We start from the raw sequence: 26,255 nt of genomic DNA, 5'->3' as shown, positions 1-26,255 counted from the left end.
AGTGGGGCGAGGGATAAAAGACTACAAATATGGTGCAGTGTATATTGCTCGGGTGATGGTGCACCACGATCTCACAAATCACCACTAAAGAACTTACTCATGTAACCAAATACTAATTGTACCCCAATAACTTATGGAAAAAATAAAAGATTCTCTGAATTAAAAACAAACAAAAAACAAGGGTACATTGCATGGTGCTGAGGTTTTGGATTCTATTGATCCCGTCACCCAGATAGTAAACGTAGTACCCAATAGAAAGTTTTTCAGCCCTTGTCTTCCTCCCTCCTTCCCTCCTTTTGGAGTCCTCAGTGTCTATTATTCACATCTTTATGTCCATGTGAACCCAAGATTTATTTCTCACTATAAGTGAAAACATGCAATATTTGAGTTTCTGTTTCTGCATTAGTTCCCTTAGGTTAATGGCCTCTAGCTGCATCCATGCTATTGCAAAGGACGTGATTTCTTTCTTTTTTTATGGCTGTGTAGTGTTCCATGGTGTATATGTATGACATTTTCTGTATGCAATTCACTATTGATGGGCACATAGGTTGATTCTGTGTCTTTGCTTTGTGAATAATGTGGCAATGAACATATGAGTGCATGTGTCTTTTTGGTAAAATGATTTATTTTCTTTTGGGTACATACCCAGTAATGGGATTGCTGGGTCAAATGATAGTTCTATTTTTAGTTATTTGAGAAATCCCCAAACTGCTTTCCACAGTGGCTGAACTAGTTTGCATTCTCACCAAGAGTTCACTCCCTTAACTCCACAACCTTGCCAGCATCTCTTGTTTTCTGACTTTTTAATAATAGCCATTCTGACTGGTGTGAGATGGTGTCTCATTGTGGTTTTGATTTGCTTCTCCTGCTGGCCAGTGATGGTGACCATTTTTTCATATGTTTGTTGGCCACCCGTATGTCTTCTTTTGAGAAGTGTCTGTTCATGCCTTTTGTACAAGGCTTGTTAAAACCACCCTCACAAACTCCAGAATAATCATATTCAACTTTTGTAGCTGACTTTGCAATTTGCCTTCAAAGCTCTAAATAAATATAGCAATCACTTATTTTTACATTTAGGCTTTAGCTATTATCATATGGAAAACAAAGCTTTAGCTCTCTTTCCCACAAATATTTTCCTCCACCACAGGCCAGCACTGTCATTCTTCTTTCCACATTTTCAATATAAGTTTATTATAATTTTGATTAGATCAATATACAGTTTTATTAAGACTCTGAGAACACTATCAGATCTGAGTCATACAATGATTCTTTTTTCTTTTTTTTTTTTTTTTTTGAGACGGAGTCTCACTCTGTCACCCAGGTTGGAGTGCAGTGGCACGATCTCAGCTCACTGCAAGCTCCTCCTCCCGGGTTCACGCCATTCTCCTGCCTCAGCCCCCTTACCCGTAGCTGGGACTACAGGCGCCCGCCACCACGCCCTGGCTAATTTTTTGTATATTTTAGTAGAGATGGGGTTTCACCATGTTGGCCAGGATGGTCTCGATCTCCCTACTTCATGATCCGCCCGCCTCGGCCTCCCAAAGTGCTGGGATTACAGGTGTGAGCCACCGTGCCCGGCCTATTTTTTCATACACAACTTTTTGTTATCACTGAAGTTAATAATAGCTGCTTTTTAAAATTTCCATAGTTTTTTTATACGCTTAAAATTACTGCACATGCAGAACCTTCCCTAGTTGTGTAAGTACTCTCTGATCCAAATAAACACAATTGATATTCTCTCATTTTTATCTTTTTATTTTTTAAGAGACTTAAAAAGCTTTTATGATTATCTTTAAATGACACATAATAATTATAGATGTTTATGGGGTACAGTGTGATGTTTTGATACATGTATAAAATGGGCAATGATAAAATCAGGGCAATTACCATATCTATCACCTCAAACATTTATCATTTTTTTGTGTGTTCAGAACATTCAAAATCCACTCTTCTAGCTATTTGAAAATATATAATAAGTTGTTCATTAGGGTCACTCTACAGTGCTATAGAATACTAAAACTTATCCAGCTGTAGGCCAGGCATGGTGGCTCACGCCTGTAATCCCAGCACTTTTGGAGGCTGAGGCGGGCAGATCACCTGAAGTCAGGAGTTCAAGATCAGCCTGGCCAACATGGTGAAACCCTATCTCTACTAAATATACAAAAACTAGCTGGGTGTGGTGGCAGGCACCTCTAATCCTAGGTACTCAGGAGGCTGAGGCAGGAGGATTGCTTGAACCCAGAAGGTGGAGGTTGCAGTGAGCTGAGATTGCACCATTGCACTCCAGCTTGGGTGACAGAGTAAGATTCTGTCTCAAAACAAACAACAACAACAACAAAAAACAACTTATCCAGTTGTAATTCTGTATTTATTAACTAACCTCTGACTATCTCCTCTCCTCATTACCCTTCCCATCCTCTCGTAACTGCTATTCTACTCTCTTTCTATGAGATCAACTTTCTTTAGCATCCACATATGAATGAGAATATGTGGTATTGTCTTTCTATGCATGGCTTATTTCACTTAACACAATATACCACATTTTCTTTATCCACTCGTTTTCTTGATGGACACTTAGGTTATTTCCATATCTTGGCTATGATGAATAGTGCTGCAGTAAACATGAGAGTGCAGATATCTCTTCAACAAACAGATTTCCTTTCTTTTGGATGCATACCTAATAGTAGGATTGCTGGATCATATGATAGTCCTATTTTCAGTTCTTGAGGAAGGAATCTCCATGCTGTTTTCCTTAACGGCTGTTACTAATGTACATTCCCACCAACAGCAAATAAGAGTTTTCCTTTCTCTACATCCTTGCCTGCATTTGTTATTTATTTATTTATTTTTTGGTCTTTTTGATAATGGCCATTCTAACTGGAGCCAGATGCTATCTCATTGTGGTTTTGATTTGCATTTCCTTGATGATTAGTAATATTAAACCTTTTTTTCATATACCTGTTGGCCATTTATATGACTTCTTTTGAGAGGTGTCTATTTAGCTCATTTGCCCATTTTAAAATTTAATTATTGGTGGGTTTTTTGTTCGTTTTTTGCTGTTGAGTTGTTTGAGTTCCTTGTATATTCTGGACATTAATTCCTTGTGGGACGAATAGTTTGCAAATATTTTCTCTCATTCTGCTGGTTGTCTCTTCACTCTGTTGACTGTTTCCTTTGCTGTGCAGAAGCTCTAAAGTTTGGTATAATCTCATTTATCTATTTTTACCTTTGTTGCCTGTGTTTTTGAGATTTTATCCAAAAAAATCTTTGCCCAGACCAATGCTGTAAAGTGTTTTCCCTATGTTTTCTTCTAGTAGTTTTATAATTTTGTGTCTATTAAGTTTTTAATCTGTTTGAGTTGATTTTTGTGTATGATGAGAGATAGTTGTCTAGTTTCATTTTTCTGCATGTGGATACCCAGTTTTCCCAGCACCATTTATTGAATAGACTATCTTTTCTCCAGTTAATGTTTTTAGTGTCTTTGTCAAAAATCATTTGTCTGTAAATACATGGATTTATTTCTGGGCTCCCTATTCTGTTTCATTGGTCTATGTGTCTGTTTTTATGCCAGTACCATGCTGTTTTGATTACTATAACTTTGTAGTATATTTTGAAGTCAAGTATTGTAATGCTGCAAGCCTTTGGTTTTGTTGTTGTTGTTATAGTTTTGCTCAGAATTGCTTTGGCTATTTGGAGTCTTCACCTGAGGTCAGGAGTTCATGACCAGCCTGGCCAACATGGCAAAACCCTGTCTCTACTAAAAATACAAAAATTAGCCGGGCGTGGTGGTGCATGCCTGTAATCCCAGCTACTTGGAAGGCTTGAGGCAGGAGAATTGCTTGAACCTGAGAGGTGGAGGTTGCAGTGAGCCAAAATTGTGCCATTACACTCCAGCCTGAGTGATAGAGTGAGACTTCATCTCAAAAAAAAAAAAGAAAGAAAAAAAATCTTAAAATATTTCTTTGACAAGTATCATTGGTATTTTGATAGAGATTGTATTAATTGTGTAGATAGCTTTTGGCAGTGTGGCCATTTTTTACAATATTAATTATTCTAATCCATGAACATGAGATGTCTTTCATTTTTGTGCATCCTCTTCCATTAACTTCATCAGTGTTTTATAGTTTTCCAGTCAGTGATTGTTCATCTCCTTGGTTAAATTTATTCATAGGTATTTTATTAGTATTTTGTAGGTATTATAAATGAGATTTCTTTTTTGTTGTTTGTTTTGTTTTTCTGCCAGTTTTTTGTTAGTGTGTAGAAATGCTACTTTTTTTTTCACATATTGATTTTGTATCCTGCAACCTTACTGAATTTGTTTATCAGTTCTAGGAATTTTTTGAAGTTTTTAGGGTTTTCTATATATAAAATCATATCATCTGCAAAGTGAGAAAATTTGACTTTTCCAATTTGGATGCCATTTATTTCTTTCCTTTTTGTTAATTACTCTGGCTAGGACTTCTATTACTGTACTGAATAAGAGTGGTGAGATGGGGATCCTTGTCTTGTTTTAGCTTGAAAGCTTTTCCTTATTCAGTATTATGTTAAGTGTGGGTTTGTCATATATGGCCTTTATGGTGTTTAAGTATATTCCTTGTATACCTAACTTGTTGACAGTTTTTATCATAAAGGGATGTTGAATTTTATCAAAAGCTTTCTCTGCATCTGTTGAGATGATTATATGATTTTTGTCCTTGATTCTGTTAATACGATGTATCATGTTTATTGATCTGCATATGTTGAGCTATCTTTGCATCCCTGAGATAAATTCTTCTTGGTCATGGCATCTTATTTTTTTGATTGATGTTGGGTTCAGTTTGTTACTATTTTGTTGAGAATTTTGGCATCTATGTTAATCAGGGATATCAGTTCATCAGCAGTTTTCGGTTTTGGTTGTTGTATCCTTGTCTGGTTCTGCAATCAGGATAAAGCAGGCCTTGTAGAATGAGTTAGGAAGAATTCTCTCCTCTTTAATTTTCTGGAAGAATTTGAGAAGAATTTGTATTAGTTCTTCCTTAAAAGTTTGGTAGAATTCAGCAGTAAAGCCATTAGGTCCTTGGCTTTTCTTTTACAGAAGACTTTTTATTATTAATTCAACTTTGTTACTCAGAATCAATCTTTTCAGGTTTTCTGTTTCTTCATGGTTCAATCTTGGTAGGTTCTATGTATCCAGAAACTTATTTATTTCTACTAGGTTTTCCAATTTGTTGGTGTATAGTTGCTTGTAATGGTATCTAATGATCCTTTATGTATCTGTAGTATTAGTTTTAATTTCTCTTATTTATTTGGGTCTTTTTTATTTTGGGGTAGTCTAGCCAATGATTTATCAATTTTGTTTATCTTTTCAGAAAAAAACAAAAAAAATCTTCTGTGTTGTTTTTTAAGTCTCAATTTTGTTTCTGCTCCGATATTTGTTATTTATTTCATTCTATTAATTTTGGATTTGGTTTGTTCTCACTTTTCTAGTTCCTTAAGCTACATCATCTGTGTGTGTTCATTTGAAACCTTTCCCTTTTTTGATTTAGGAGTTTATTGCTATATACTTCCCTCTTAATATTTATTTTGCTGTATCCCATAGGTTTGGCAATTTGTGTTTCTATTTTCATTTGTTTCCATGTGTTTGTACAATGTCAAAAATTCCTCTTGTTATTGATTTCCAGTTTTATTCCATTGTGGTCTGAAAAGATACTTGATACGATTTCAGTTCTTTTAAATTTGTTGAGACTTGTTTTGTGGCCTAAGATGTGATCTATCCTGGAGAATTTCCATGAGCTGATGAAAATAATGTATTCTGTAACCCTTGGATGAAAAGTTCTCTAAATGTCTATTATGTCCATTTGGTCTAAATACATTTTAAATGCAATGTTTCCATTTTAAATCCAATGTTTTTTTGTTGTTGTTGATTTTTTTGCCTAAATGATCTGTTCAATGCTGAGAGGGGGGTGTTGAAGTCTCCAACAATTATTGTATTAGAATCTATCTCTCCCTTTATATGGATCTAATATTTGCTTTATGTAACTGGGTGCTTTGATGTTGGGTGCATACAAATTTACAATTGTTATATGCTCTTGCTGGATTAATGCCTTTATCATTATATAATAACCTTCTTTGTCTCTTTTTACAGTTTTTAACTTAAAGTCTTTTATCTGATATAAGTATAGGTACTTCTGCTTTCTTTTGCTTTCCATTTGCATGGAATATCTTCTCCTATTTCTTCACTCTCAGTCTATGTATGTATAGGTGAAGTAAGTTTCTTATAGGCGTGTACAATTGGGAATTTTTTTTTTTTTTTTTTGAAACAGGCTTTCACTCTGTCACCCAGGCTGGAGTGCAGTGGCACAATCTCCACTTACTGCAACCTCCACCTCTAGGGCTCAAGTGATCCTCCCACCTCAGTCTCCCAAGTAGCTGGGACCACAGGTGCATGCCATTATGACTGGCTAATTTTTGTATTTTTTGTAAAGACAGGGTTTCACCATATTGCCCAGGGTGGTCTTGAATGCCCAAGCTCAAGTAACCTGCCCACCTCAGCCTCCTGAAGTGCTGGAATTACCGGCATGAGTCACCATGCCCAGCCAAAAAGTATGTTTTAAAATATCAATTTTGCCAGTCTATATCTTTTAAGTGGGGAATTTAATCAATTTACATTAAAGGGTGTTAGTGACAGGTGAGGGTCTACTTCTGTCAATTTGTTAATTGTTACTCTGGTTGTTTTATATATTCTTTGTTTCTTTCTTCGTATCTTATTGTTTATGGTTGCAGTTTGGTGATTTTCTGTAGTTATCAGGTTTTGTTCTTTTCTCTTTCTCCTTTATGTATCTGCTGTACCAGCGAGTTTTATACTTCTGTGTGTTTCATGATAGTGATAATTATCTTTTGGCTTCCAGATTTAGGATTCTCTTGGACATTTCTTGTAAAGTTGGTCTAGTGGTTATGAATTCTCTCAGTTTTTCATTGTCTGGGAAAAACTGTATCTCTTTGTCATTTTTGAAGGATAGCTTTGCTTGGCATAGTATTCTTGATTGACAATTTTTTTCCTTTCAGCACTCTGATCATATCATCTCATTTTCTCCTGATATGTAAGTTTTCTGCTGAGAAATCTGCTGTTAGTTTAGTTGTGATTTCCTTATATGTGACTTGATGCTTTGCTTTGCTGTTTTTAGAACCTTCTCTATGTCTTTTAATTTTGACAGTTTGACTATAACATGCCTCAGAAAGGACCTTATTAGGTTGACTCTATCTGGGGACTTTGAGCTTCCTGAATCAGGATGTCCTTATCTCTCCCAAGACTTGGAAAGTTTTCAGCTACTTTTTTATTTAATGGGTTTTCTATGCCTATTTCTATCTCTTCTCTTCCAGTGACTACCAAAATTTAAATATTTGTTTACTTAATAATGTCCCATAAGTCTTGTTTTCTCCTTTTCATTCTTCTTCTTTTTTTTTAAAATCTCTGGCTAGATAATTTCAAATGACCTTTCTTCATATTCAGAGATTCTTTCTTCTGCTTGTTCAAGTCTGCTGTTGAAGCTCTTTATTTTGGTTTCATTTATTGCATTTTTCAGCTTAGGATTTCTGTTTGTTTCTTTTTAATGATAACCTATCTCTGTTAAATTTCTCATTCATATCATAAAGTGTTTTATTTCATTGAATTGTTTATCTGTATTTTCTTTTATCTCACTAAATTTCCTTATGATTATTGTTTTCAATTCCTCTTCTGGCAATTCAAAAATTTCCTTTTCATCAGGGTCTGCTACTAGAGAGTTATGGTGTTCCTTTGGTACTGTCAGTTTTTTTTTTTTTCTTTTTCAATTTTTTTGTGTTCTTGCATTGATGCCTGTGAATCTCGTAGAACAACTGCCTTTTTCGGCTGGGCACGGTGGCTCACACCTGTAATCCCAGCACTTTGGGAGGTTGAGGCAGGCAGATCATGAGGTCAGGAAATCGAGACCATCCTGGCTAACACGGTGAAACCCCGTCTCTACTAAAAATACCAAAAAATTAGCCAGGTGTGGTGGCAGGCGCCTGTAGTCCCAGCTGCTTGGGAGGCTGAGGCAGGGGAATGGCGTGAACCTGGGAGGTGGAGCTTGCAGTGAGCCGAGGTCGTGCTACTGACTCCTGCCTGGGTGACAGAGTGAGACTCCGTCTCAAAAAAAAAAAGAACAACAACAACAAAAAGAACAATTGCCTTTTTCAAACTTCTAGAGTGATTTTCATAAGTAAAGACTTTCACCTGGAGATGAGTCTTAGTGTGCTATTTGAAAAGGATGTGGTAAATCTGCTTCCAGATATATACAGTGGTATAGTCTCCCTGCAGCTTCTTTAGTTGTGTTTGACATCAGCAGTAACTGTAGGTACTTCAGTGGCCTAGGCTGTAGAATTTTGGAAGCTGTAGAGTGGCATAGGTTGTTAAGGTCCTCAGGAGCAAGGGCTTCTGGGGTCTTCCTATTCTCATTTTCTCTACAATAAGCTGAATGGTTCCTTCTTGATGTCAAGTCTGACATGTCCTACAGGTGGCTGCAGTGGTTGTGGGTTCCAGGTGCATATGCCCAGAGCATCTGTGGGGCTGGAGTCCTAGGCTTAAAGTCTCACATATTGCAGCACCAGAGTCTTAGGGCATAGCTTTTCTCTCTGTGGCAGTGTTGGACATAGGTTGCCCACAGCCAGGACCTGTGACTCTGAGGCACCCCCTAGCAGCTTGGGCCCAGGGGCCCATTTGTGATTCTACCCTTGGGAGACAGGGCACAGGACTGTTCTAACTCTGAGAAAGAAGGGGTTCTCTGGATGTTTGAGCTCAGAGACCAGAGTATAGCTGCAATTTGGGAACCTGAGCCAATAGGGCTCAGTGGCAATTCGGGTTCCAGAGGACGGACACTGTGTAGTCATGCCTTTAGCCCTTGGGATGGCAGGCCTTGGCTGTATTTCAGACTGTGAATCCAGGTACAAGTATCCCAGAATGGTGGAACCCACCTGTTGTTTGGTTGCTGGGTGGCATGGAATAACATAGTGATGAGCCCACTCTCTGGGGAGATGGGTGTCTCAGCAGTTCAGACTCTAGGGAACTAGTCCAACTCCAGGGAAGCGGGATATTTGAGTTGTTTGGCCTGTAGGGTGGGGTGTCTTGGCTTAGCTTCTTCTGTTTCCCTGGAACACACAGTACTATCTCAGCTCAGCCCTGGATGTGCAGCTGCTCAGTTTGACCCATGTACTCCCTCCCCAGGGGAAAATGTGCCTCTTCAGCTCAGGCCCAGAAGGCATGACTATTCTAAATGGCCCAGGCACTGTTTCCCTGGGATTTAAGGCACTGCATCAATTTAGGCACTGGGAAGGTGTGACTGCTCTGGGCAGTGAAGGCGCTGCTTTCTCAGGAGGCAGAGTATTGCTTCAGCTCAGGCACAGAAAGGTCCTTGCATTCTCTGTGTGGTTATTCTGAGTTTCTGTGCTCTGGGTAGCCAAGGCACCATCCCAGGATGACTGATATTGTTTCATTTCCAGCACAGGGGTACAGGGTGCAGCAGTGACTAGGAGAGGTATTTGAAGCAGCTCTGCCAAGGCACCATATCTCCAGGAGGCAGTGTGCAGCTTCAGCTTAGCCCCCTAGGGGCAGGGTGCCACAGCAACTGGGAGAGGTAGATGGAGTTGTTCTGCCAAGGCATCCTTTCTTTCAGAGAGAGTGGGCAGCTTTAGCACCATTTCCCAAGTGCAAGGTGCAGCAGCAACTGAGATGGGTAGATGAAGTAGCTCTGCCAAGGCACCATTTCCCTAGGAAGGAGTGTTCAGCTTCAGCTTTGGCCTGAGCAGGCAGGCTGCACCTGGGCACTCTGAGAGAGGTAGGTAGAGTGGCTCCACCCCTAGTTTGTCACACAGGGATGGGTGTAACAGCTGGTTGTAGCTCAGTTTGGAATTGTTGGGCCATTGAGTGGGGCTTTAGCCTCAGGGATTAAGGGGTGCCATGAGCACTTGCCCCCAGAGCAGGATATACTCCAGTGGCAGTTTCAGTTCCAAGATGGCATAGCAGAGTAGCCAGGTGGCCACAGGGAGTGGGGCACAGTGCTGGCTCCTTCTCTGAAGGAGCACAGCTATGTAGACTCCAGGTATCTCTCTTAGCTGGGCTTAGTGTCTGTGAGGACTGCAGGGGACCCCAGTGGAGAGGACTGCAGGGGACCCCAGTGGAGAGGACTGCAGGTGTTCCAGGTATTGATGGGGCTGCTGGGACTCTCTTGCTTACCTTTTTCCTGAAGGGAGAAGTTCCTTCTGGTTCCCATCTGGGGGATGGGATGGTGGAGGCCCAGTTGTTTTCTTTTGCTCTCTGTATGGTTATTCTGAGTTTCTGTGCTCATCAGAGTTTCTGTTACTACTTTGATGTACTGTGGCACTTTCCTTTTGCTATTTTCATTAAAATCTAGTTGTTTATTTGTTGTTTTGGCTGTCTTTGCTGGAAAGAGAAGCTCTAAGGGCTTCTACGTGGCCATCTTGCTGATGTTGCTATAATTTTATCTTCTTAAAGCAGTTTCTACCAGAGCTGAATGATCTGCTTCAATCTAGAGCACTTGTCCTCTATACTGAGTGACTTGTAGACTTTGTATTTTGCTTCGACATAATCTGTAGATCCAAGAAATGGAACCTAATTCCTAGGGTTTTTTTGTTTGTTTGAGGTGGAGTCTCGCTCTTTCGCCCAGGCTAGAGTGCAGTGACGCAATCTTGGCTCACTGCAACCTCTGCCTCCCGGGTTCAAGTGATTCTCCTGCCTCAGCCTCCTGAGTAGCTGGCACTACAGGTGCATGCCACCACGCCCGGCTAGTTTTTTGTATTTTTAGTAGAGATGGGGTTTCACTGTGTTAGCCAGGATGGTCTCGATCTCCTGACCTCGTGATCCGCCCGCCCTGGCCTCCCAAAGTGCTGGGATTACAGGCATGAGCCACCACGCCCGGCCTATACTGAGTGACTTATAGACTTTGTCTTTTGCTTTGAAATAGTCTGTAGATCCAAGAAATGGAAACTAATTCCTAGTTTTATGATCCCTTGTCTTTATTTTATTTTCTGATTTTGATGAAGACCACTGTTGGTCAGCTTCCTGAGAAAAGGCCAATGGGAGATAAAGGGAGATAGTCACCCCTCATGTTTGTTTGATAATATGGCTGGGAATAGAATGATAAAGATAAGTTTCCTTCAGAATTTTATCAACGTTGCACAAGTCATCTAGTCTTCAGTTTATTTCAAGTCTGGCACCATTCTGATTCTTGATTCTTTATGTAAGTCAGAGGTTAGCAAACTACTGCCCACAGGACAAATGCAGCACAATGTCTATTTTTCTTAATAAAGTTTTATTGGAACACAGCCATGCTCATTTATTTACATGTTTTCTATTGTTGTCTTTCATGCTACAAGAGCAGAGCTGGGTAGTTCTGACAGACTCTATGGCCCCAAAAGCCTAAAATAGTTATAACCTGTTGTTGTTGTTGTTTTTGTACAGAAAAGGTTTTCAATCTCTTCTATAAGTGCTGGGTTTGTTTCTTTCTTAGAAGTTTGTAAGAGTTTCTTTTTGTCCCAGTGTTTTAATGTAGCTTGGTGTGGGTCCATGTTTTTTTATTGTGTTGAGTGCAATATCCTTCATTTCTGGTATATTATCTTGAATTATTTCCACTATACTTTCTCCTCCTCCTCTTATAATTTCCTCATTTCTTTCTTTTTATGGTTTCTATTATTTAAGACATCTTCTATTTTATTCTCTTAAAATAATTTTTTAACTTGTCTTTTTACTCTAATTTCTGAAATATTTTTGTAACTATTTTCTAAAGTTTCTATTAAGATTTCTAGTTTTGCTGTCATATTTAATTCCCCCCTACACCAGCCCCTAAAAAGCATCCTATTTGTGTATCAAAATATTCCTTTTCTTCCCTGAGGATAGTTAATAATAGTTTTCCTTTTTGATTTTTTCCTCTGTCCCGTATGATGTCTGTATTCCATGAGTTTTGTTTGTTTTGGGCTCTGATATTTGTATCTGTTGCCTTTCTCAAATGTTGGCGATATTTGGCTTATATCTAATGTGGGGCATTAAATCGTTGTTTAAAGATTTATACCCATGAGTTGGTTTGCCACTGTGAGCTTCTCTATATAGTGATTTGACATGGTCTTTTTTGGAGAAAGATATCAGTATTTCTTAGGTCTTTTTTCTTGGGTTGGTCAGATTCTCTAGGGAAAGCTCTTCCAATATCTGGCCTGGAAGGTAAAAAGCTGGCTAACACCTACAGGAGTTGATGGGGGAAGAGAGCTACAAGGTCCGAACATTTAATATGTTCATTTTCTCTTAACTGCCCTGTTTTAAGATCTGTAACCCCCGCCATCAACTGAGTTTACTGTTCTGGTTTTTAGAGATCATCTGTTTTATACCTCATCATCCTGCACCAGGGAGGGGCAATTACCCAGTCTGACAAATGAGGAATGGGGTCCAGGAAGTGTTCTCTGCTGGACTGACAGATGGCAGCACAGCTCCTTTACTCCCCCTGTTCCCCCTGCCATCATGCCTCTTCTATCCCCTCTCATATTTCAGGGGCTGGAAGACCAGGAACTGTGTTCCCAGAGTCATTTGCTGGTCATGCTCTGGATTGAAGTCTGACAATGAGAGGTACACCTCAAGATTTGGAAGGCATAAGAAAGGCACAAACTATATTATTGCCTTTAGCAGCAGTAGGCAATTTTGCAGATTTCAGCAAAAATGAAATTTTCCAGCAGCCTCAGGGTGTTTCTTTGCAAATCCTCTGCTATGATGCTTCAGATAGCTATAGTCATCTCTGACATTTTCTGAAGTTCTTGCAACTTCCTGACTCTCTGATAGCTGACAAATCTCAGGAGTAGCCATGGCTTTCCCTGACTTGTGCTTCTCCAGTCTTTCCAATTAAGTGGTAATTCTCCATATTATATTCCTTCCTTCCTGACCGGTACAGTTTAAGTGCTCCTTGAATGGCATTTTTAACCAGTCCTTTTGTTTTTAGCCTTCCCTTCCCCCATTTCACCAGGTAAATTGGTAAACTGGGTAACTTCTCAGCTTTCTGCACTGTGGTTTTCTCGGATTTGATAAAACCACTTTTGACATGCTTTTCAAACTCTAAGGATTCTATTGTTTCACCTGCATCTTTTTGTTCTTGGGGATTTATGCCTTTCATAAAAAAATTACTCTCTGTCATTTTGTAATGGGTATTTGGAAGGGGGCAGAGGAATTCGATCCTGCATTCCATCCATTACCATTCTATATCAAGTTCCCCATTCACTCTTCAACCTTCTCCCATATGGACACCGGCCACCTCTCCAGCCTCATCCTGGGCCATGTTTTCCTTTATTCCAGCTATGCTGACCTTGACTGATAGTCCTTGAACTCACCAAGGTCTTTCCTGCTTCAGGATCTTTTGCATACTGTTACTTTTGTCCACTCTCTCTCCTTTTCTCACCTAACTTGTCTCTGTTCTTCGCGGTTCTCAGAGAGGCCTTCCCTGATGACACATACAAATTGGGTTATCCTTTTTTTTCTATCATAGAACACCATTCTTTTCCTTTATTATACTTGTATTTTATACTCATATTTATGTGTTAATTTATTTAATGTTTGTCTGCTGCAAGAGCATAAACTTTATACCTAGTAGACATAATCAGATCTCTATTAATAATTGAAAATGGAGAAGAATTATTTTTAAGGAAACTTACAGAAAGGAAATATTAGGCCCTGTCTGGTCTGAGTGTTGCAATACTGGCAGTATCATTCAAATAGAAGGGACATTACAAAAGATCCATTTCTTAAAAGACTCAATCTCAAACTATAAATTTTCCCATACTATTTTAATTCTACAATCTACCATCAAGGAAAAAATAACAGGATCAATTTATAGCTATAAGGCTTAGTATCCCCATAAGCCTTTCTTTTCTCTTTTTTCTTTTGTTTTCTTTCTCTCTCTCTCTTCCTTTTTCTTTCTCTTCCTTCCTTCCTTCTGCCCTCCCTCCCTCCCTCCCTTCCTTCCTTCCTTCCTTCCTTCCTTGCTTCCTACCTACCTTCCTTCCTTGCTTGCTTGCTTGTCTTTAACAGGAAATACCCCATTCATTTTCTTTTATATCCCCTTAGGCTTGAGCCAGTTGAAAAAAACTTCCTTAATAGTGCTCAAATGAAAAAAAAGGAAAAGTGATGAGAAAATTAATATAATGAAATAATCAATGCAAATGACATACCATTGTCCAGAAAAACCCTCAATCAACTCTCTTAGAATTACTGAATCTGAGGGGTAATTGTGCCGTAATCTCTAATTGTAAGATCAAGGCATGCTGTCAGAAGTACTGCCAATATTAAATAGATATTTTATGTTACTCTTTTTAAGGTGGAATTTCTAAGAAATCGAAAACCATTTATCAAAAACATAAATCATTCACACTAAGTATTAACTAAAAATCCTTAATTTTGGTAAAACTAAAATTTGTATTCATCCTCAAATAACACCCATCAATGCTTTATTTTTCTAGAGTCTACAAGTGCAGAAAAAGTTTGAATAATTTTTTAAAATAATAACTTTAAATTTATCTGTATCAGGTGAGTTACTGAAGTGTGTTAACATAGCTAAAGAATCAGAGGTTTGGGGGGAGGAGGAGAAGAAACTTATGTATAATATTTGTTTTATGAAAATACATAACAATGTATCTACTGTTTAAATTCTATGTTGTTTTGGGGAAACAATTTAATGTGCATACATAGTAGCAGTTTACGATTTATAAATGTTTTCTCATTTATTACTCATTTTACAATACATCTTATATTTATAATGATTTTTTAACCTCCCTAGACCTTATAAAATGATGTGATTGGCTTAAGCAATCATTAAGGTTCTTTCCAGCTTTGATTCCATTATGTTTTCAAACTGTGACTCTGCCTAATCACAAGTACAGCTCAGTAAATCCCCTTTCCTCTGTGTGTTTCTGTGTTTGTCTCCATCACTTTGGTGTTCTCCCAGTAGATACATTGAAGGGCATGTTGATTAAATTAGTCAAATTAACTCTTTGCCTGACTCCATCCTCATTAGGCTAATGAGCAGACTTAGGAGTAAATCTGTGTGTCTCAGTTGTCTTAGGTCAGAAGTACTGTCACTGGGAGCACCAGTGAAAAGTTGTAATTGTGACATTCTTTAGGAGTTTTTAGCTGGCAGCTCATTTTACATCCTTTCTCAAGAGGGAACATGTGGCTTTGCTGAATGGAAGTTATAATGTGTTGGGCAATCTCATTTTCTCTGCTGGATCATTGTTAAAGAGGGTGTAATTTTGTTTCCTCCCCTGGAAAGAGTTTCTTGGGTAGGCATGTGTGAGAGATGTTGAACAAGTATTAATCAAAGGGTGAGGGGGGAAAATCCTATTATCACCATAAGGTGCTGTGAAGTAATAGATTTTAATGATGAAGTAGCCATGTGAGTAGCTACACTACAGATTTGTTTATGATTAAGTGTGTGCTTGTGTGTAGGGGATGAGAGAAGGTGACCTGAAGATAGATTTGGGGGAAGGACAGACAAGGAAGAGAGAGAAAAAAACAACTGGTTTCAAAGGTTGAGTGTCCTCTGATTCTAAAAGGCATACTTCCCCTGTTCAAATTACACATCAGAGCACTCATTTGACTAAGTGACAAGTCATATACATATTAAAACATAGGTCTAAAATTTTTACACTGGCCAAATGATTTTTAGTGCTTGGATATATTTGTAAAACATAAAACACTGACGGTTGATAGCAAAGTAGCCAGCATATGGTAGGTGCCAGATACATGTTTTTGAATAGACAGAAGGACACTGTGAACGGTAGTTGTGTTTAGATATTACAGCTGGCTGAGTCCCCCAGTGGGAGCTGGTGATAGCCTACACAATACCTTCCTTTGGCTCATCAAATAGTGTGAATGAAGATACGGTAATACTTCCAGGGATTATGGTCCATTTATGATGGAAACTATTTGTTTTCTAGAAGGAAAAAAAAATTTGCTGTCTCTATGAGATTGGGTTAGGTAGAAGTTTCTCTCTTTGGGGCTCTCAGGGGTACAACTGTGTTGCTACATGAGCCCTACATGGGCTAAAATGTGAATATAGTCAGACACTGCATAATGACGTTTTGGTCAATGACAGGCCACATATATAGTGATGGTCCCATAAGATAACTGTATTTTATTGTATGTTTTTTATATTTAGATATCTTTAGATATGCAAATACCATTGTGTACAATTGCCTACGGTATTCAGTACAGTACATGCTGTACAGGTTTGTAGCCTAGGAACAATAGGCTATGCCATATAGCCTAGGTATATAGTAGGCCATATCGTTTAGGCTTGTGTAAGTACACTCTGTAATGTTCACACAATGACAAAATCACCTAATGATTCATTTCTCAGAACCTACACCCCTAGTCAAGTGATGTATGACTGTATATACAACCAGCAAACATCTAATATTCTGGAAATTATGAGGAAACTATGAGTTTTCTAAAAACATAAGACATTTTAAAAAATTATGTCTTTTTTCCTTTTTCAGTTCAAATCTTATTACTTCCCAGTTGTGTGACACTATCCTCACAGGGCTCAAAGCATTGAACGGTAGATCCCAGCGCTTCATTTATGGCTCTGTGGCAGCTAAGAAAGTCATCTATTGGGAACCATAGCAGATCCAGGGAGTGCCTGGCACAATTTCTATATCAACAGTCTACGTTTCTACGTTTCCTAACCTTTTATTTGCACAGATCTTGCCAAAATGCTTAGCAATTGTAGAACATCTAGACCCATCTTTGCAATGAGGATTAGGTATACTATAGAGACCAGTACCATGTGAAAAACAAAACCTGTTGGAAATGGAAGACTCCTTTGTCACTATACTGTTTCAGATTTCACCAGTAGGTTTACGTCCTGGCTTTGCCTCTTAGCATGTGTTTGTTCTTATCATGAGTCTCCTCAACTATAAAATGGGAATAATTAAAACCACCCACATCGTAAGTTCACGGTGAGGAATAAATGAAAAAATGCATGCAAAATGCTTAATACACTTCTTTGCACATAGAAAGCTCTCAGTAAATGCCAGCCGCAATTACAAATGTAGCTCACTGTGGCTGGGTTGGAGTAGCTCCTTGAATCTCAAAGTGTTACAATAATCAGTGACATAACATTTTTATTTGATAAAATGCAACTTTTAAAATTTGGTGTAATTAAATCCTCCTAGCCAAGAGGAGGCCCCACAGCTACTATTTGACCAGGGAACTAGAATGGTTCCTTGGAAATTTGTATCAATGTTGTGTCTCTTACAAAATAAACAGGATGCTCTACTCTATTTTTCTCCATCGGAGAGAAAGGCTACCCAAGCAAAGTGACTTAAGCCCTACAATATAACTGAGTTTGGCGAAGTAGCTCTTTTACAGTGAACACCAGCCTCTGCCTACCCAGTATGCACAGAGAAATGAACTTTTAAAGGTGCACTGAAGTATCACAGGAGTTTATTGATTATGGTGACACTCCAACCCAAACCATGCTCAAAGGCCTAGAAGTTTAAGAGTGTAGGAAAAGCTCAGGAGATGTGAAGAAGAATTGTTGCCGATGTTACCTGGGACAACAATGAGGTGCAGCCCAATAATCTGGACATAAAAATCAGATTATCCACCAAGTGTTTCTATAAAACAAACATTTAACATATCAGAGCAAAGATATATGATTATCTTAAAAAAGGCAGAATATCTTCCATCTAGGCCAAACTTGAAGGAAAAAGTATTTTTATGGCAAAAGGAAATTTAAAAAGTCTTAAAGCTGATTGATCAACAGTATGGCAGGGCACAGTGGAAAAATATAGACTTTCCATCTCTAGCTATGTCCAGAAGACTGGTTGTCCTGAGCTGTGGGCCCAAGGACCTGGCCTGTGCAGCACACATATTGCTCAGTACTCTGGTGACTTGACCACAGCAGCCGTTTGGCTCAGGCAATAAGCTTCTAATTCTATATCCATCAGGTAACTTTCCAGTGAGCCTTGGCCTGCCCAGATCCATCAATGGAGCCTTATATTTTTTATCATAAGTGAATACATTGGCATTCTGGATTCCTTAATGTCAGACTTGTGAATTGGGTTGGTGTGAGTTATTTCCCTGTGCTTGATTAACTCTGGATGTACTGACTATTGACTCTCCAATCTCCATATTTAAGACCATACCCTTGGTAACTACATCAAGGTGGCTTTTTTCAGGAAGCCACACCAGCTCGCTTTTCCCAGGAAGTATTGCTTTCTCTCTAACTGCAATGTGCATGTGACATGAATGTAAGGGAATATCAAGACTTTATCAATGCAGGTGGTATAATATTGTGTTAACATCACCAATGAAAACTTGCGAAGGGGACTTAAAAGTTGCCTCTGAATTTGAACTTCTTTCCAAAGTCTGCTGAATACTGAAAATAAAAATCTGTCCAATAGGAGACGGTGGAGCATAATGGCTGAATAGAAGCCTTTGCTCTTCATCCCCCACAGCAGGAACACTCAATTTTAACAACTAACTACACACAAAAAAGCACCATCACAAGAACCAAAAATCAGGTGAGCAATGACAGTACCTGGTTTTAACTTTTCATGCTGAAAGAGGCACTGAAGAGGGTAGAAAAGTCTTGAATCAATAATGCCACCCCTCTCCCATCCTCTGGCAGTGGCCATGTGGTGTGGAGAGAGAGTCTATGCACTTGGGGGAGGGAAAGCGCAGTGACTGGGGCACTTTGCATTGAACTTAGTGCTGCCCTGTCACAGTGGAGAACAGAGCCCTGCTGTGCTCAGCTGGTGCCCAAACACGGAGGGAGCATTTGGACCAGAACTAGCCAGAGGGAAATCACCCATCCCAGTGGTTGGAAGTTGAGTTTCTTAGCAAGCGTCACTACCATGGGCCAAAGTGGCCTTGGGTCCTAGGTAAACTTGAAAGGCAGTCCTAGGACACACTGATTCCTAGGCAACTCCTAGTGGCATGTGACCTAGCCATGTGGCACGTGATCTAGGGAGATACCAGATGAGGAGGCTAAGGAAGTTCTTGTGCCACCCCTCCCCCAACTCTAGGTAGTGCAGCTTGCAGCAAATGAAAGTGACTCTTCCCTTCTGCTTTAGGAGAGGAGAGCAAATAGTAAAGAGGACTTTGTCTTGCATGTTATATTCCAGCTCAGCCACTGTAGGGCACGGGGCAGAGTCATGAGGTCCCCATTCCAGGCCCTAGCTCATGAACAACATTTTGAAACACTCCCTGGACCAAAAGGGAGCCTGCTGCCTAAAGAGCTCTTGGGCCCTGAATAATCAGCAATACCCAGGGAGTGTGCCATGGGCCTTAAGTGAGACTCTGAGATGCGGTGGCTTCAGATGTAACCCAGCACATTCCCAGCTATGGTGGCTATGGTGAAAGGCCCCTTCTGTTTGAGAAAAGCAGAGGGAAAGATAAAGGAGACTTTGTCTTGCACTTTAAGTACCAGCTCAACCGCAGCTGGATAGGGTACCAAACAGGCTGTTGGGGTTCCCAAGCCTAGGTCTAGGCTCCTGGACAGCATTTCTGGACCCGCCCTCAACCAGAGGGGAGCCCACAGCTCTGAAGGGTGAGTGCCAGCTCTGGCAGCATTCACTACAAGCTGAAGAGCCCTTGGGCCTTAAGTGAATATCAGTGGTGGCCTGGTGAACCTCTCCTGTGGGCTAGTGGCAGTGGTAGCCACAAGGAGAGGCCTCTTTTCCTATAGCAAGGAGAGGGAAGAGGGGAAAGGACTTTGTACTATGATCTGAGTGCTAGCTTAGCCACAGTAGAATAGAATGTCAAATGCATTTCTAAGGTTTTTGACTTCAATCCCTGGCTCCAAACTGCATTTCTGGACCTTCCCTGGGCCAAGGGGAACTCACCACTCTGAATGAAGGGACACAAACCTGGTTGGCTTTACCACCTGCTGATCGTAGAGCCCTAGGGACTTGAGTGGACATAGGTGGTAGCCAGGTAGTGGTTACGGCAGGCCTTGGGCGAGACCCAGTGCTGTGCTGGCTTCAGGTCTGAACCAGTGCAGTTCCAGTGTTGGTGGCCACAGTGGTGCTTGTGTCCCCCATTCTCAGTTCCAGGTGGCTTAGCACAGAGAAAGAGACTTCATTTGTTTGGGAGAAAGTAAGGGAAAAGAACCAGAGTCTCTAGTAATCCAGAGAATTATTCTGAATCTTATCCAAGACCACCAACACAGTACCTATATAAGTCTGCAGGAATGATAGCATTACTGGGCTTGGGGCCAAAGTTCCTTTGAATATCTAGAAAGTCTCAAGAAGGATGGGCACAAACAAGCCCAGACTGCAAAGACTACAATAAATACCCAATTGTTTCATGCTAAGACACATATGAACATCTATAAGCATCCAGACTATCCAGGAAAACATGACTTCACCAAAAGAACTAAACAAGGTACCAGGGACCAGTTACGGAGAAACAGAAATATGTGACCTTTCAGACAGAGAATTCAAAATAGTTGTATTGAGGAAACTCAAAGAAATTCAAGATGACGCAGAAAGAGAATTCAGATTTCTATCAGATAATTTTAACAAATAGATTGAAATAATTAAAAAGAAGCAGAAATTCTAAAGTTTCTAAAATGCATTTGACATACTGAAGAATGTATCAGTCTCTTAATAGCAAAATTGATCAAGCAGAAGAAAGAACTAGCGAGCTTGAAGACAGGCCATTTAAAAATACACAGTCAGAGGCGGCAAAAGAAAAAAACAATAAAGCATGCCTACAGGGTCTAGAAAATAGACTTGAAAGGGCAAATCTAAGAGTTATTGGCCTTTAAAAAGAGGTAGAGAAAGAGATAGGGGTCAAAAGTTTATTCAAAGGGGTAATATTAGAGGACTTTCCAACCTAGAGAAAGTATCCATATTTAAGTACAAGAAGGTTGTAGAACACTAAGAAGATTAAACCCAAAGAAGACTACCTGAAAGGATTTTATAGGCCAGGCATGGTGGCTCATGCCTGTAATCCCAGCACTTTGGGAGGCCGAGGTGGGCAGATCACGAGGTCAGGAGTTTGAGACCATCCTGGCCAAAATGGTGAAACCCTGTCTCTACTAAAAATACAAAAATTAGCCAGGCGTGGTAGCACACACCTGTAGTCCCAGCTACTTGGGAGGCTGAGGCAGGAGAATCACTTGAACCCAGGAGGTGGAGGTTGCAGTGAGCCGAGATTGTGTCATTGCACTCCAGCCTGGCGACAGAGCCAGACTCTGTCTCAAAAAAAAAAAAAAAAAAAAAAAAGGCATTTTATAATCAAACTCCCACTTATTTGTGGAAACATCAAAATCAAAGCGATTGAATGAACTCATGGAGATATAGAGTAGAAGAATGATTACCAGAGGCTGGGAAGGGTTGTTGGCGGTTGGTTGGGGGGAAGTGAGGATGGTTAATGAGTACAAAAACATAGAATGAGTAAAACCTAGTATTTGATAGCACAACAGGGTGACTATTGTGAATAATAATTTAATTGTACATTTTAAAGTAGCTAAAAGAATATAATTGCATTGTTTGTAACAGAAAGGAAAAATGCTTGATGGGGTGTTTACCCCATTTCCTCTGATATGATTATTATGCGTTGCATGGCTGTATTAAAGTATCTCATGTACCCCACAAATATATACACTTACTATGTACTCACAAAAATTAAAAATTAAACTCTACATAGGACTTTTGCACTTTCAGTAAGACAAGAACAAAAGAGAAGTCCCCCTTTCCAAAAACCATCTCAATTTGCTCTTTTTAAAGTAAGAATGTGTTGATATAAAGTTTGGAAGACAATAAACCTACTATCAATGGCATATTTTGCTATAAAAGCTAAGCCCAGAGCAAATGTGAGAATAAACTCTGGCAACTTTGATCAACGAATACTAATAATGTTGTATGTTTATAAGTGTTTTCAATATTTCTAAACTTCTTCTACTTCTTTCATATCATTTGATAGTAACAATCCAGTAAGGCAGTAGAGAAGACAGAAATGTTATTCCTACTTGAAAATAAGAAGCAAAGAGACAGGGAGCTTATAGGGCTTCCTCAACATCAACTGACTAGTTAGTGGAAGAGCAGAGGAGGTAAAGCTCACCTGCAGTCCCTGTGTGTTTCCCTCAACACAAGATACTGTCCGTTCATATTCACTTAGGCTGTTGACAATAATCATGGCTACAGAATGGATGGTAGAACAATCTCCACAGATAGTAAGGATGAATAGATTGTGCTATAATCGATCAGGTGTGGTGACTCATGTCTGTAATCCCAGCACTTTGGGAGGCCGAGGCGGGTGGATCATTTGAGACCAGCAGTTCGAAATCAACCATGGCCAAAGTGGTGAAACCCCATCTTTCCTAAATATGCAAAAATTTTGGAGTGGTTGCCCACGCCTGTAGTCCCAGCTACTAAGGAGGTTAAGGGAGGAGAATCACTTGAACTTGGAAGGTGGAGGTTGCAGTGAGTCGAGATCATGCCACTGCACTCCAGAGTGAGACTCTGTATCGGAGGAAAAAAAAAAAAGGTTGTGCTGTATTCTGCTTATTTCATGGCAGTTGTCATTTGTCTATAGCCATAGCCTGGGAAACTTTCAGCTCTAGTCATCCAGATTATTTTGTGGGGACTGTTTTCAATTAACATTGTAACACTGGTCCTTTGTTACATATTGTTTTTCCACAAATTGTGATGGAATCAACTCTGTATGATCAGTTCTGTATTTCCACATCTTTTCAAGGCGTTTAGCCAAGAAGGAAATCTCGTTTGTTGTCATGGAAAAAATTTGATTCCCACAGAGGCATCGCACCTGTAATTCTGGTCTTTTCATTATAGCCTCAGATAAAAAATATCACCTTATCCTTTCCAACACAACTCTCGAAATAGCTATGTATTCTTTTATAAAACCTTTTTACTTTGTTGAGTTTCCTTCTGAGACTTCCTGATTTTCAATGATTCTACTCTGGATGGTTGAAAATGCTAAAACATTTTTCTTTTTCATCAGATCTGTTCTCTTCAAATCCCTCTGTTGCCTTTCCAAACCACATTTAAACTTTGTGAGTTTTTTTTTTCTTTAAGATTTCTATCAAACTAAATTTTTAAACCAATCAAAAGAAATAATAACTATAATACAACTCCTCAATTTTCAGCAATAAATAATTCTGGCAACAAGAAGGAAAAGAAAATTAAACTACTGAATGCATTTTCATACCATGCTGGGAAGAACAGCTATAGAAAATTATTAGATTCTCCTCTATAAATGTCTTAGTACAGAACCTGGCATTTTGCTAAGTTTTTTTAATCCCCCCAAAGGATGTGAATTATCTAGGCAAAAATGTTTATAGAGGTAAATGAGAACCAGATAGTTTATAAATAGAATAAGAAAGGGAGCCAGGGAGGGAAGGAAGAAGGGGAGGGGAGTGGGAAAGGATCAGGGGGAAGAAGAGGGAGAGTGTGAGAGGGAGTGAGAGAGAGGAAAAGATTGGAGAAAGAAAAATCTGCCCAGCACAAGCTGGTGCCTTGCAGTAGTCTGACATGATACTGGGTAGTAGAAGGATCTGGCAGGATAAGATTCTTCTACTGTAGATGAAGCAGGAAGCTCTGAAACTTTCCAATTTCTTTAGAACAACATGGGATAGATCCTATAGTTCTTCTATTGTCCCAAGGACTAGGACCTGACATATAAGGAACAACCACAGAACCATTCACTTGTAATAGTAAAATTGAATTTTAATTCTTGTTCTATTTTATAAATGCACAATTTATTGAACAAAATGATCAATGCACTCCACAATGCATTGTAAATATTTCTATAGGCAGTTGTAAAGGATATTATCTCTTGAGACAAGTGCTTCTGGTATTTTCTATAAATGTGGCTGGGGTCAAGACCTGTTGGTCTTGACTCACTGGTATTTTATGCTGTTACAGGAAGTCTGGGGCAGGTGGGGGATGGCTTAGTAAACATTAGTTCTTTCTGAATCAACAGGAATATTGAACGTGATATCTGAATACTCAGGTTAGAATGTTATTTCACTTCTGTCAGTCTCCCATTAGCAGCGACTGATTGCAATAAGCTCTAGATTTTCAGAAGTACTATATGGAAAATGCCATAAATCAGAAATTAAGACGAAGTGCAATTTGACAAAAGTACATTACAATTAGCATTAACTTTATTGATTGGTCTATAACAGAGAACTGTTTACCAATGCAATCTAGATGCATCTGCTCTTCTATAACTGCTTATTTAGGTGGAAGTTTATGAGTTTTCTATGCAAAGTGTCTTGCCTTAAATCTCTTTTTCTTTCATGCTAGTAAATAGAAGTAAGAAGCTTTCTCCCTTATAAATACAGACCAGAAAGAGGTCGATAGAATGCCAGTTCTATGTTTTTCAAGATTAATAGATGTTAATAAAATGAAGTGATAAAATTGCTAATTGGATTCAGAAGGTAGAACTGTGGCAAGAAATACTTTTTAAAGGGTTTTTAAAAATTGTGATTTTTATTGGAAGGAGGTGGATGGGAAGATACTCCTTATGTTGGGATCTGGAATGGCCTAATTATCTTTGGAAAGTCCCTGTTTTACTTAATTCTGTATTCATATCTTCCTTACAGTACTCAGTTTTCTTAGATTTTCTTCTCTCTTGCAAAATGAGAGGGTTCAAAATTACTTAATTTCAATTGATGCCATTGTCTCTGGAAAGCTGCAAAAAGGCATCAGACAGCAATTATGCATTTACTATTTTATTGTTAGTGTCATGTACCTTCCAAATGGAACTGCTACAAATAAACATTTCATATTTGTCAGCCTTCACAATGTTACGGTGGTAATATCAACTGGGTCTACCTTTGTACATGGGTGTATATCTGTACATATGTCTTTCTAGAAAAGAATATTCAGTACATGCTTGGAGAAATTTTAATAAAAAATAGTTATAACATCTAAGAGTACAAGAAAACACACGTTTAGTTTTAGGCCTATTGCAGAGATAATTTGAGGCCTAAAAATTGTAAGCCTTTCATTAACACATTTATTTGTAGAGAAAATTTGTCTCTGAATATATAGTGGATTGAAAATTCCTGGACAGTGAATGAGTCATATGTCTTGGTATTTGCCGTAGCAACTAATAAGCCTGAGTAATTTACCTGGTAATCTGTAATCTTGCTTCAAAAAAGTATTTAAGGTAGATTACTGTAGAAGCCACACATAGAGTTGCAAAAGACAAAAGAAAAGAATTAAAATCTTTTAGGAAAGAGAATGACATTCTCCAACCTGGGCTAATATTGAATTCTGCAATTTTAGCTTTGAGTTTCCTGGAAAATAAGACAAGAAGTAAAACATGATGGATAAATATTTATCATTATCAAATGTAAGAAAGTAAGTCATTTTGACAAGAACAACAAGCTTTTACTGATAAAAGAATGTGAAATGAATTCATATGGAACTGTAGAAGGAGAATATTGAGCTACATGAAGTGTAGCTTGAAGACCAGATTTTTAAAAAGCGGAAATGTTTTTGGTATAAATATTTCTTATATTGATATTTGAAAAAAAAACTCTGCCTGCTTAATATTAAAATATAAGTCAGCAGTCATCATGAACAAAAATGTTACGTGGAAAGATTGTCATATCCTAGAAATTAGATGGCGGCCTAGAGAGTTACATAAACAAAGAATAGCTGGAAAGAGTTCAGCATAGCAAAAGCAGCTACAAAAATAAACTCGGGCAAAAGCTGTGCTGAACAAAAGCTTCACCCTGGCAAGCCGCCAAGGGAAGTTACTCAAACTGGGCAGAGCCTTTCCTGAGAAACCTCTGCCTCCTGGTCGGGAAGTTTTCCCTTGAAATCCTAAGCTTTTCTGGTCGTTTTATCTAAGAATTCTGCCTAGAGTAACAGTTATTAGGTTCTACCTCACTTAGCATACTGTGATCTTGACATCAGGGCAAGGAGCTCGCTCTTATCTCAGTGCATCTGCACAGTCAACTTCCTCAGTTACAAACCCCTCCTACCTACCCTCAGCCCCTGCTGGGCCCAGTATCTACTTAACAGTTCACACGTAGCCTCTGCTTAACTACTGCTTCCTTCAGGAAGTCTTCCCAAATCTGAGTAAGTTGTCCCCAGGTCGGTGATTCTCATGCCTGGCTGCACATCAGTATCACCTTGTATGCATTTGAAATACACCAAGGCCCAGGCTCCACTTTTGGTAATTTAGACCAGGAAGTTCTGCTTTAATTATTCTGGGTGAGGCACAG

At 39.1% G+C, this 26,255-nt stretch overlaps 1 long non-coding RNA gene across 1 annotated transcript in view; it reads left to right on the top strand.

Annotated features, from left to right (window-relative positions):
• The window catches only part of LOC107984625 (uncharacterized), a 98,066-nt gene that overhangs the window by 30,437 nt on the left and 41,374 nt on the right, over window positions 1-26,255 (top strand). The gene's annotated exons all lie outside the window — the stretch shown is intronic.

This window comes from Homo sapiens, chromosome 13 (genome assembly GCF_000001405.40).
Source record: "Homo sapiens chromosome 13, GRCh38.p14 Primary Assembly".
In the NCBI taxonomy this organism is placed as follows: domain Eukaryota; kingdom Metazoa; phylum Chordata; class Mammalia; order Primates; family Hominidae; genus Homo; species Homo sapiens.
The sequence above is the reverse complement of the archived record's forward strand: the minus strand, read 5'-3'. Positions and strand labels throughout refer to the sequence as shown.